Source organism: Homo sapiens, chromosome 13 (genome assembly GCF_000001405.40).
Source record: "Homo sapiens chromosome 13, GRCh38.p14 Primary Assembly".
Taxonomy (NCBI): domain Eukaryota; kingdom Metazoa; phylum Chordata; class Mammalia; order Primates; family Hominidae; genus Homo; species Homo sapiens.
The window spans coordinates 40,750,301-40,763,162 of record NC_000013.11 but is presented as its reverse complement, the minus strand read 5'-3'; the positions used below and the strand labels follow the sequence as shown (position 1 = coordinate 40,763,162).

Below are 12,862 nucleotides of genomic sequence, written 5' to 3'. Positions count from 1 at the left end.
TGGAACCTAAGAATATCCCTGGTGATGCAGCAGTAACCAAAATTTCTAGCATCTGCTTTAACTTCCTCTTAACCTGATTCATTTGGAAGGCATCAGCTAACTATTACTCACTTAATTGATCCCTGCTGGAAATTTAGATTATCTCTGGTGTTTCACTAGTATGAAATGATGCTATGTTTGTTTATTCATTCAGCAACTTTCCCTTGCCATTATATTTCACACACCATCCAAAGTGCTAGAGATTGGACATTGAACAAAACAAAGTCTCTGCTTCCTACATTAAAATGGGGGGAGGGATGTAGGAGAGGAGATATATGTACAACACACACACACACACACACACACACACACACACACACACACACACACACACACACACAATGTCTATACTATGTCAGGTGGTGAAACATGAAGAAAAATAAGAGTGATGGAGTTGGGCCAGGCACAGCCTGTAATCCCAGCACTTTGGGAGGCTGAGGCAGGAGGATTGCTTGAGTCTAGGAGTTTAAGACCAGCCCTGCCAACATAGTGAGACCCAGTCTCTACAAAAAATGAAAAAAAAATAGCTGGGTGTGATGGCATGCACCTGTAGTCCCAGCTACTCAGGAAGCTGAGGCAGGAGGATTACTTGAGCTGAGGAGGTTGAGGCTGCAGTGAGCTGTGGTTGTGTCACTGTACTCCAGCCTGGGTGGGAAAAAAAAAAAAAAGAATGAGGGGGCTGGAGAGGTGCTATTTTTAAGAATAATTAGGGAAGAACTCTGATAAGGTAACATTTGAGCAAAGATTAGAATCAAATTAGGGATAAAGCCATGTAGATATCTGAAAGATGAATTCCTTTTCAGGCATAGAGGATAGAACTGCTTAGGCCTTGAGGTTGGAGTATGCAGTATCCTTCAAATTCCACAAATTTGTTTCTTTTCTTTCATTTTTTGATACAGAGTCTTGCTCTATTCCCCAGGCTTGAGTGCAGTGGCACAATCGCCTCTACCTCTGGGCTCAAGCAATCCTCCCACCGCAGCCTCCCGAGTAGCTAGGACTACAGACATGCACCATCACATCTGGCTAGTTTTTTTTTTTTCTTTTTGTAGAGACGATGTTTCACTATGTTGTCCAGGCTGGTCATGAACTCCTGGACTCAAGTAATCTGCCCACCTTGGCCTCCCAAAGTGCTGGGATAACAGGCGTGAGCCACCATGCCCAGCTGTTTATTTTTTCTTTCTTTCTTTCTTTTTTTTTTTTTTCTGTTTATTTTCTTTAAACACATATTCTTAGAAGTGGAATTGCTAGGTCAAGAGATGTGCATATATATATTTTTTGCCTTTGATATATGGCACCAAGTTGCCTGCCAAAAGCGGTGCCAATTTAAGTATCCACTCAGTTTCTTTCCCTCATCAGAATTCTTTTCTGAAATTGTATGTCATACAGTTTATTTTAAAGAAATTTAAAAAGTACAGAATGTTATGAAGGGGAAAAGTTTGTATTAATGAAATGGTTTTAATTACAGGATAGAATAGATTGTTAAAAGATACTTTAACAAGTTCTCCTTACATTGTTAAAATATATGAAGAAAGATCCCTGTATGTAAAAATTATTCAATGACAGAGGCTCCCCCACAATTTTTTATTAATTAGAACATTTCAAATTATAAAGCCAGAGAGTATAACTACATAGGAAACCATTGTTATGAAATGTATGATTCTAGAAAATGAATATTCATCTATGTTCTGTGTATACTTTGATCAAATATATTAAAATTTGAAAATGAAGTTCACAAGTAGTTTATGAAAGAAATACAATGACTTTGGAACAAGGTTAAAGCTTTATTCACAGATAAGTTTTAAAAGCACATTTTATTTTAACTTATATTTCTCTATTTTTCTTTTCTTTTTTTTTTTGGAGACAGACTCTCACTCTGTGCCTCAGGCTGTAGTGCAGTGGAAAAATCATGGCTCACTGCAGCCTCTACCTCCTGTGCTCAAGTGATCCTCCCACTCAGCCTCACCAGTAGCTGGGACTATAGGCACATGCCACCACACCTGGCTAATTTTTTTTTTTCTTTTCTTTTTTTCTCTATCCCAGGCTGGTCTCAAACTCCTGGGCTCAAGCGATCCTCCCGCCTCAGCCTCCCAAAGTGCTGGAATTATACAGGAATGAGCCACCGTGCCCGACCCCTTGTTTAATTCTTCTCTTTTTCTTCTATTCCTATCAGATTTTAGATCTTTCATAACTTAGTTAAGTCCTTAAAATCTTTCTCCAAGAACTTCAGGAATTTGGGAAGTTTAACTTTCGTATTAGGTAACGTATCATAATATAGAAAGCCAGGTATAGTAAAACATTAATTTGGATCCCACTCATTGAGATGTCAGTTCTCAGTGAGTTAAAAAATGTTGCAAATAGCCAAGCATGGTGGCAGTTGGCTATAGTCACAGCTACTCAGGAGGATGAAATGGGAGGATTGCTTGAACCCAGGACTTTGAAGCCAGACTTGACGACATATTGAGACCCCTGTCTCTTAAAAAAAAAAAAAAAAAGGAAAAAATGTTGTAAATAGTTTATTTTCTTTTTATAATAGAATGTTTTTCTATTAACTTGCTCTAATTTAGGAAGCTTTTAAAAGCTTTTTCTTATGAAAAATTTAAAACATATGCAAAGAACACAAAATGGTATAACGCCTTTCTACTGTTGCCCAGCTTCAACAGTGATCAACATTTTGCCATTCTTGTATGTCCTATGCCTTCACCCACTTTCCATCTCCTACTTGATGATGATTTATGGCTCTTTTTTTCAGGTAAAATTTACATGTATTAAAGTATACAAATCTTAGCTGTAGGATTTTGAGAAACAGGTAAGTCCCTGTGACCCACACACTTAGCAAAACACTACATTTTTCATTTTTACCTTCCCAGTCAGTAGCCATCAGTCCTGAGGCAATTGCTGTTTTGATTTTTTTTTCACCTCAGATTAGTGTTCCCTGTTCTGGAACTTGATATAAATGGAATCATACAGTTTTTTTTTTTTTTTTTTTTTTGACAGAGTCTAGTTCTGACACCCAGGCTGGAGTGCAGTGGCGCAATCCTGGCTCACTGCAACCTCCACCTCCCAGGTTCAAACGATTCTCATGTCTCAGCCTCCAGAGTAGCTAGGATTTTACAAGCATGTGCTGCCATGCCTGGCTAATTTTTATATTTTATATTCTTTGTGTCCAACTTCTTTCACTTGATCTAATGCCTGTGAAAGTCATTCATGTTGTCATGAGCTGAGTACTCTTCCATTGTATGGATATATCACAATTTGTTTTTCTGTTCTGATGATAGACTTTTAGGTTGGTTCCAGTAAAGTTTCTGCGAACTGGTTAACCTGCCTTTATATTTGCTTACAATATATATTGTTTCTGAAATACAATAACATCTAATTAAAAATTCCACTAATTTATAATTTTTGAGGCTGATCTGTCCCTCACCCCTCCACCTTAATATATTGTTCTGAGTTAGTGTTGTGCTTCAGCAAATATCCATTAATTTTAACATTTAACATTTCAAAGTTTATATAAAACCGGTACCTAATAGTTGAGAATTCTTGCCTTTGTCAGAAATTGAATTGAATACTTTTTTGAACACCAAAGTTTTCTCCAAAAATCATTTCACTTTTCACTAAACTAATGGTGTAATAAGCAATCTCTCTTTTTTGTTTTTTGTTTTTTTTGTTTGTTTTGGTTTGGTTTTTTTGAGACAGAGTCTCGCTCTGTCTCCCAGGCTAGAGTGCAGTGGCGTGATCTTGGTTCACTGCAGCCTCCACCTCCTGGCTTTAAGCAATTCTCTTGCCTCAGCCTCCCGAGTAGCCGGCACTTACAGGCGTGCGCCACCACGCCCAACTAATTTTTGTATTTTTAGTAGAAATGGGGTTTCACCATGTTGGCCAGGCTGGTCTCGAACTCCTGACTCAAGTGATCTGTCTGCCTCGGCTTCCCAAAGTGCTGGAATTACAGGCATGAGCCACCGCACCTGGCCAATCTCTCTTTTTTTTTCTTTCTCATTTGTTTTTCATTTTCTTTTTCAGAATTGAGCCCCTGAGTCCTGAGTTGGTGGCAGCTGCATCTGCTGTGGCAGATTCTCTCCCTTTTGATAAGCAAACAACCAAGTCAGAGCTGCTGAGCCAGCTCCAGCAGCATGAGGAAGAGTCAAGGGCACAGAGAGATGCAAAGCGACCTAAAATTAGGTGAGTGAATCAAACCCTTAAGTCAGTAATGTTTATATCTCAAAATGGGCCATTTTCATATGGCTAGTGAGTAATACACATAATATATACCACGTAAGTGGAATTTGTATATAAAATATACCACATAATTTTAGCAATTCAACTTTTTAAAAAACTTATGTCTTAAGTATGATTATAGTTTTTAAAAAAACAATTGAATAAAGTTTCCTTTTAGGAAGTTACAGTTTCTTGTCCATGAAAAAATAAATGGTAAATTCAATAATGTTATTAAAAATAAATAACAGAATAAAGTAGCTTCTCTGAGAAAAGTAATTTTTTTCAGTTAAATACCTTGCTGGTTTTATGCACAGGATGATAATCTTCAGGTCTGTTGCCTTCTCTTTTTCCTCTTCTGTATTTCATCTGACATCATTCCACTTACTCTCTTCATCTCTCATTATTTTATACCATGTTATACTACTTGCTGCCTATGTTATATTAAGTAGTAAGTATAGTAAGCAGTAACACTGCCTCATTTTGGAGAGTGATCTAAATCAGTTGTTCTCAATGAACGTGTATACCAGATTTATTTCAAGAAATTAAAAGAAATGGCCATGTGTGCTGGCTCATGCCCATGATCCCAGCACTTTGGGAGGCTAAGACAAGAGGAACACTTGAGGCCAGGAATTTGAGACCAGCCTGGGCAGAAAAGCAAGACCCCATCTCTACAAAACATAAAAAAAGTAGCTGAGCATGGTGGCGTGTGCCTGAAGTCTAGCTACTTTGGATGCTGAGGCAGGAGGATCACTTTTTTTTTTTTTTTTTTGAGACGGAGTCTCGCTCTGTCGCCCAGGTTGGAGTGCAGTGGCGCGATCTCGGCTCACTGCAGGCTCCGCCTCCCCGGTTCACGCCATTCTCCTGCCTCAGCCTCCCGAGTAGCTGGGACTACAGGTGCCCGCCACCATGCCCGGCTAATTTTTTTGTATTTTTAGTAGAGACAGTGTTTCACTGTGTTAGCCAGGATGGTCTGGATCTCCTGACCTTGTGATCTGCCCACCACAGCCTCCCAAAGTGCTGGGATTACAGGCGTGAGCCACTGCACCCGGCCTTGGGAGGATCACTTAAGTCCAGGGTTTGAAGTTGCATTGAGCTGTGATCTCACAACAGCACTCCAGCCTGGGCAATAGTGTGAGACAAGAAACTGTAATTAAAAAAAAAAAAAAAAAGCCAGGCGCACTGGCTCACGCCTGTAATCCCAGCACTGTGAGAGGCTGAGGCAAGCGGATCACCACGTCAGGAGATCAAGACCATCCTGGCTAACACAGTGAAACCCTGTCTCTACTAAAAACACAAAAAATTAGCCTGGCATGGTGGCACACGCCTGTAGTCTCAGCTACTCGGAAGGCTGAGGCAGGAGAATTGCTTGAACCCGGGAGGCAGAGGTTGCAGTGAGCCGAGATTGCGCCACTGCACTCCAACCTGGGCAACAGAGTGAAACTCCATCTCAAAAAAAAAAAAAAAAAAAAAAGGAAGACATAGATATCTGGACTGTCAGTTCAGTGACTCATTTTATTTGTATTTGAACAAATAAAAAGCAACAAATAAATATGGCTAACTCTTGGTTTTAATTTAGTTATTGGATGTAGGTGATAGGTATAACAGATACTGATTTTACTTTCCTATCATTTTCTCTGAATAATTTTTCATGAGACACTTACGTTTTAAATGAAGATTTCTGAAGTACATCTTTAAAAGATGAAAGTAAACATAAATTGTAATGTTCTGTGTTATGTGAATGTTAATAGGCGACATTTTTTATTTAAACATTTTATGCTGTGTAATTAGTGCATAAAAATGAAATAAGAATTAAATGATCTCAAGTCTCCTGTTAAAGGAAGTTTATTACTGTTCTGTAGCTAAGATTTCTAATACACTTGACCTTTTTATTATTTCAGTTTCAGTAACATAATATCAGATATGAAAGTTGCCAGATCTGCTACAGCTAGAGTTCGTTCAAGACCAGAGCTTCGGATTCAGTTTGATGAAGGCTATGACAATTATCCTGGCCAGGAGAAGACGGATGATCTTAAAAAAAGGTATCAGGCTTTGTAATCTGCTGGGTTTTGTTTGTGTAGTTTGTTTTTACCTTAACTGTAGATTTACCTTATTGTGTGTGTGTGTATTATTGCTGTTGGATATCTGAACATTATGAATACATTTACATCTGTGTTCTTACTCTCTGTATACCACTTCCTAGAGAGGGAACCATGTGCTGGATTTAGCCAGTCCTGTAGTTTTCCATACCTGAAATCAAAACGGGCCATGCTTCACATCTACCCACGATGAATAGGGGTCCTTTCATTTAGAGTAAGCGGAGCTGACTGAATTCTGAGCAAATAAGTATTTTGTGAGAAACATTATTTTTCATTTTAAAAATAAGTGTCTAATACTGTGTATTCATATAGCCTTTATATCTCAATACGTGCTTATCTGTTGGTATACCTTAGAGAAATAACCCACCATCAATGAGAAGAAGGAAAGGCAGGAGGAAAAAAGTTTATATAACACTTTAAAATGGTAGATTATTTGTGGCCATTTGAATTTACTGATTTGAAGTTCTTAAAGATGCTGAGCCATGCCTTACATAGTTATTTTAGAATCTAAAGTTGTTCTGTATTTGCATAACGTTTCTGTTCTTTTTCTTCTTTAAACCCTGAAAGTGATAGATGGGAAGGAGGAACCAGATATTTGGCATGGTCTGACAAAAATTAACTTGTCTTTGTAGCAGGATATGCTCACAACTGGAGTGTTTTCAATGCATTGTATATTCCATGGATTTGTTTTAAGTAAAATCAGAAACTTGAGTTAACTCTTTCTGGGTGTTAAATTAATGATTTATACAGGAAAGTTGGAAAAGGTGGTCAGCAGTTAACACCGGAAGTTCAAGAGGTTATGGTGACTTTGGAAGATTATTTGAATTACTAATTTAAAGTGATTTAGCATCTGTTACATATTATTGAATAAAGGAGAAGGTGTACTTGGAGTTTTACTTAAGAATATTTAACTGAATCAGTTAATCCTCGAGAATATTTAACTGAATCATTCATCTTGGACATGATTCTGTGCAACTACATTAGGATGGTATATTATAATTTGATTTTTAATATTAGATTTGATATTTAATATTTAAAAAATTAGAAGCAAGTAGGAAAGGGTTTTCTGTGCTTTCAATGTGTTAAAAAGCCAGCCAGAGGTGAGTAAGGGGAAGCAATGGTGAGACGCCAAGTTTTTCACCCTGCTATGACTGGGGCAGGATCTGGGATATCAACCCCAGACAACCCAGGCCTGGATTGATTTTTTCTGTTGGAGATTGACAGTTCACACTGGCCTGCCTCAGAATGTTGGCACTGCCACTGACTAATTCTGTGACTGGGGCACCTTTTATAGCCTCCATCAGGCTGTTTCCCCAGCTATAAAATGCTGAAAGTGAAACCTAGCTTAAATGGCTTTCTTAAGGAATAGAAAAGAAACACGTGTAAACTATCTGGTACATAGTAGGTGCTCAGCAAATGTCCATTCCCTCTCTTTGTAGTACGTTCCTCTTTTGAAATTCAATACTTTATCAAGGCATTTGCCCTCTGCTGTGACTTGCTTTAATCCACCATCCTGTTTATCAGACGTGCGGTTGAGGGAGAAGAATGCAAGGCACTGAAGAGAGTTATGGAGCGTAAAAGCCTTTGTTTACAAATAACTTGGAACCTGTTAGAGGGAAGATTATATGATTTGAGATCACATTATTTAACGTTCATATGGTATTTGCATTTTTCCAGTTATTTCTATTTAGTAGAGAGAAGTAATTTAGTTTATAAAAAAACAAGAATTCAAAATTATTTTTAAAACTAACCCTCCAGTTTATTATTTTTTATTTTTCTTCGAGACGGAGTCTCGCTCTTATCGCCCAGCCTGGAGTGTAGTGGCACAATGTCGGCTCACTGCAACTTCTGCTTCCTGGGTTCAAGGGATTCTCCTGCCTTAGCCTCTCAAGTAGCAGAGATTACAGGCACCTGCCATCACACCTGGCTAATTTTTTTTGTGTGTTTTTAGTAGAGACGGGGTTTCACCATGTTGGCCAGGCTGGTCTCAAACTCCTGACCTCAGGTAATCTACCTGCCTTGGCCTCCCAAAGTGCTGGGATTACAGGCGTGAGCCACCTCGCCTGGCCAGCCATCCAGTTTATAAACTGGATTTTAATCTGCCAGTAAATGTATTCAAGTAAATATGTGAATTGATGCATAAAGCAGTTGATTATCAAGTGTGTAAGAAAATGTTACCTATTAACTCTCTGATATTAATTTCAATAGTTAATTAAAAATAGTCACGTAAAGAAAGTTAATAATTATTTTAAAATACAGAATGATTGCCTTATGAAAGGGAATGTTGTGATTTACCAATGCAATCTTTTATAATTATAATTTGTAATTAAACATTGCAGTGTTTTCTGCCCTTAAAGACAAATGTTGAGTTTAACAGCTTCTATTTTGGCATGGTTATAGTTTTTCACAACATGGAGTTTTTAAAACCTTAATATAAACGTGAAAAAATAAAAATTATGGCAAATTAAGCTAATCTTTTCAATTAGGTATTTTGGAAATTGCTGTAATTGATTTGTTGTATTATGAAGCAAAACTTCAAGTGCACATTTCTGTTTTTTGTTTATCAGTCCTAAAAATGTGGCAATTTAGCTAATATTTTTGATGTGGGTCAGTGGAATTTTTAATTTCTACATAGAATATTTCACTTAAGATATTTTCTCATAGTTTTTGTTGACAGTTTAAAATATATTCATTAAAATGTTATTTTCTTTTTTTGGACTTAGGAAAAATATATTCACAGGGAAAAGACTTAATATTTTTGACATGATGGCAGTTACTAAAGAAGCACCTGAAACAGGTTTGTTAAGAATAACACTCTTTCTCAGGTGGAGAAACATTCCATCGTTCCAGGATGTCCTTAGTGTTCTAATAGTTTGGATATTTTAATATTCCATTCTGTCATTGGCCTGGATCCTGCTTATGAATGTGGCGGTTGTTACAAGGAAAACTTGGGACTGTAATGTCCGCCTAAACTGGGAAGGCGTCAAGAGACCAAAGAATAATTTGGGCAAGTCCAGCTTGATGAATAGATGAGTTTACTAGAACTTACATTACATACTGGACATTCCTGAGCAGCTCTAGAGTCACCCTGCCTCCCATCTCTAAGCAGCCTTTCAGCTAATGTTTTGTTTGCCTACTCTGTGTGCGCGATGACTGTTACCTGATATGTTCCCAGGTATGCCCTGGGATGTTTGGGTTCTCAGGGACACCTGCTCCTCAGCTAGGCACCATGGCCTTGGCTCCCTGCTCAGCCTTCAGGATCCAAGCAACACACATACACTCTTAAGTAACCTGGTGGGGGTTACTACAGTTGTCAACATTGCTAGTTTCGGTCAGGCTTCCCCCTTGAAATGTTGCATTCTGTGAGACAGCGGGAGGTAAGTACTACCGATTACCGAATCCAGAGGTCCAGATTAGCTACTAATTTGAGTTAGAACAATAATAATCAACTACCATTTACAGTGTATCTCTATGCTATTACATAAAGATATACTGGTTCCTGCCCTTAGGCAGCTTAGAAGAGGAGACAGCATTTACAAAATAACTTACTGAAGTGACTTAGTGATTGTTTAGGAGATGGGAAGAACATTCAAGGAATATATTTAACAGACTTGTAGTGTTTTCTTTGGGTAAGAAATTTGCCATTTTAAGTCTAAAAGAGAAATAAGAGTGTCCTCTTGCTTGACATTAAATTTAGTTTACTAGTAAAATAAATGAAGAAACTTAATACAAATGGTCTCTAGTGTATAAGTGATGAGCATTTCTAAAGAAAATAAGTTAGTTTTTTGGATATTGGTAGAAACAATGTTGTATGTGGACTTGGGAGGCTGAGACAACATGATGGCTTGCGACTAGGAGTTCAAGACCAGCCTGGGCAACATAGCCCCTTTCTCTAAAAAATAGAAAAAAATTATCCAGGCATGGTGGTGCATGCCTGTAATCCTAGTGACTTGGGAAGTTGAAGTGGCAGGATCACTGGAGCCCAGAATTTGAGGCTGCTGTGAGCTATGATTGTGCTATAACACTCCATCCTAAGAATCAAAGTGAGACTCCATCTCGAAGGGGAAAAAAAAAAAGAATGTTGTATATGATAGATAAGTTCCTAGGCGGGCCTCCAAAGGCTCATTTAATCTTTCTACAGTTACTTATACGAACTTTTGATTTTCCCTCTATTTAATAGACTATTAGGGGCTATATCTCATTCATGTAGCACCTACTCATGTGGCTTACAGATCATAGGAACTAGGTGTCTTAAATCTTAAATTCTTTTTTGAACAAACTGTACTGTAAAATATATATCTGTAGAGGAAAGAAGTTAATTCAGTGTTTGTTCATTTGAATTGAAGGTGAAGCTAAAAGAACAACCCCCTTCTTATATTACAAAAACTGCATTCTCTTGTGTATGATGAGAAGGAAGTGCAAAATGCGTAGGGACAAGGAATCGCCTCTTCCCTGCTCAAATGGTTAAGCGTGCATCAGAAAGGAATTTCTTGGCCGGGCACGGTGGCTCATGCCTGTAATCCCAGCACTTTCGGAGGCTGAGGTGGGTGGATCACTTGAGGTCAGGAGTTTGAGACCAGCCTGGCCAACATGGTGAAACCCTGTCTCTACCAAAAATACAAAAATTAGCTGGGCATGGTGGCGGGTGCCTGTAATCCCAGCTACTCGGAAGGTTGAGGCAGGAGAATCACTTGCACCCAGGAGGCGGAGGTTGCAGTGAGCCAAGATTGTACCATTACACTCCAGCCTAAGTGACGAGCAAAACTGTCTCAAAAAAAAAAAGAAAGAAAGAAATTGGTTGTCAGGGCAGCTGCTGTTGTCCAGCCAAAAGAGGCACTTGAAGATTCTTGAGAGTCTTGAAGGAACCATCTTACTTTTTAAAATAAAAAAATCTTATTTCTAAAACTGAAGTTAGTTGGCAAGGAAGCATTGAAGTTTTATATATTTTATAAAACAGTATCAAATTATTATACTCTAGTTAGGAAAATAGCACACAACTTTAATAATTTAATGAAGGTACTGTTTAAATATGCTATACTTGCATGAGTCTAAAGAATGGTTTTTGTTCCCAATTAAATACAAGAATAGCAAAATGTGGAAACGTAAATTTAGCAATTGTTCACTGTTGTTTTCCCACCACCTGAAATAATGCTGGAAATACAGTTGGCATTCAGTAATTTTTTTATTGACTGATTGAATGAGTTATTCTGTTCCATGATTCCCATGTCTTGTTCCCCACTAAGTTCTTACCACTGCTACAAAGGATATACTCATAGGCCCTACTGGTTATCCTAGAGTCGACAGGCAGTATAGCTTAACAGAAAGAGTGTTGGTGTTGTGTAGAACTGGATTCAAATTCAGATTCTGCCACACTAACTTTTCCCCACCTATAAAATGAGGGCTACTACATACATCTCAAAGATTAAGTGAGGTAATATGAGAAAAGTGTCAGGCACAGTGCCTGGAACATAGTACATATTTAACAAATGCTTACAAATATTAGCAAGTGTAAAAATATAGTGATGATCCTAATGATGATGGAAAAGACATAGGTGGGTCAGTGACCACCAAGTAAAAGATAACTGAGACAATTAAGTTATTTTTGATGTGATTGCTCTGTAAATGTGGCTAGTTAAGGCTAACAACTGATTGTTTCCCAGTATCAGATGATCTAGGCCAAATATCTAGCAGTCAGTGTGTGGCTAGATACATTTCTGCACATAAAGGCTCATAGAAATAGATTCAGAAAAAGCAAAATAGATAAAATAAGGCTTACCCAGGTAGAAGAGTAATTGAGCTATTTGTTGATATGCTTTAGTGGGGGCTTGGCAAAAGTGGGTAAAGAGGTAAGCTGGAGGATAGGTCATATGCAATCTATGCCTCTAACCCGGAAACTGTTCCTAGGAATTTGTTCTAAGGAAATATTACAGATACGCGCTAAAGTGTAACTACAAGGATATTTGTCACTATAGTATTTAAAAGAGAAAATATATAAATGATCAAAATATTGAATAGTAAGGGATTGTGATACATATATATGTAATATATATATATATATATATATATATATATAAAATGGGATACTAATGCAAGCATTCAGTGAAAAAAGTAGATTACCAAACTATACGATCCTCATTTATTTTAAAAAGTGATATCACCCAGAAAAAAATAAGAAAGATAAAAGATGTTGGTAAAATAACTAAAGAATAAAAATATAGGGGAAAAGGTAGCCAAGGGATAGATATTGATATTCATTTTCTTTTTACAACTTTATTAAGTTGTAATTTGTGTGCAACAGATTGCATATATTTGAAGTATATAACTTGACTAATTTTGACAAATATATACACCCATGAAACTACCAGTTATAATTTTAAACATTTTCATGACCCTCCAAAGTTTCCTTGTGTCCTTTTGCAATACACGCAAACACACACACCCCACACACAGTATGTAGGCAACCATTGATCTGCCTTCTGTTACAATAGGTTAGTTTGCATCTTTTAGAACTGTAC

General features: G+C 37.6%; 1 protein-coding gene across 2 annotated transcripts in view; it reads left to right on the top strand.

Moving 5' to 3' along the window:
- Window positions 1-12,862, top strand: part of MRPS31 (mitochondrial ribosomal protein S31) — a 42,063-nt gene that overhangs the window by 8,028 nt on the left and 21,173 nt on the right. Inside the window, exons 3-6 of one of the 2 annotated variants that reach the window (XR_007063654.1) lie at window positions 4,057-4,215; window positions 6,150-6,290; window positions 9,071-9,144; window positions 10,694-10,890. Coding sequence is in view for 1 of the 2 variants with exons in the window: in NM_005830.4 (NP_005821.2) it covers window positions 4,057-4,215; window positions 6,150-6,290; window positions 9,071-9,144 (374 nt within the window). In the remaining variant the exon portion in view is untranslated. The remainder of the gene's footprint in view (window positions 1-4,056; window positions 4,216-6,149; window positions 6,291-9,070; window positions 9,145-10,693; window positions 10,891-12,862) is intronic. The other variant, NM_005830.4, reaches the window with a different exon arrangement.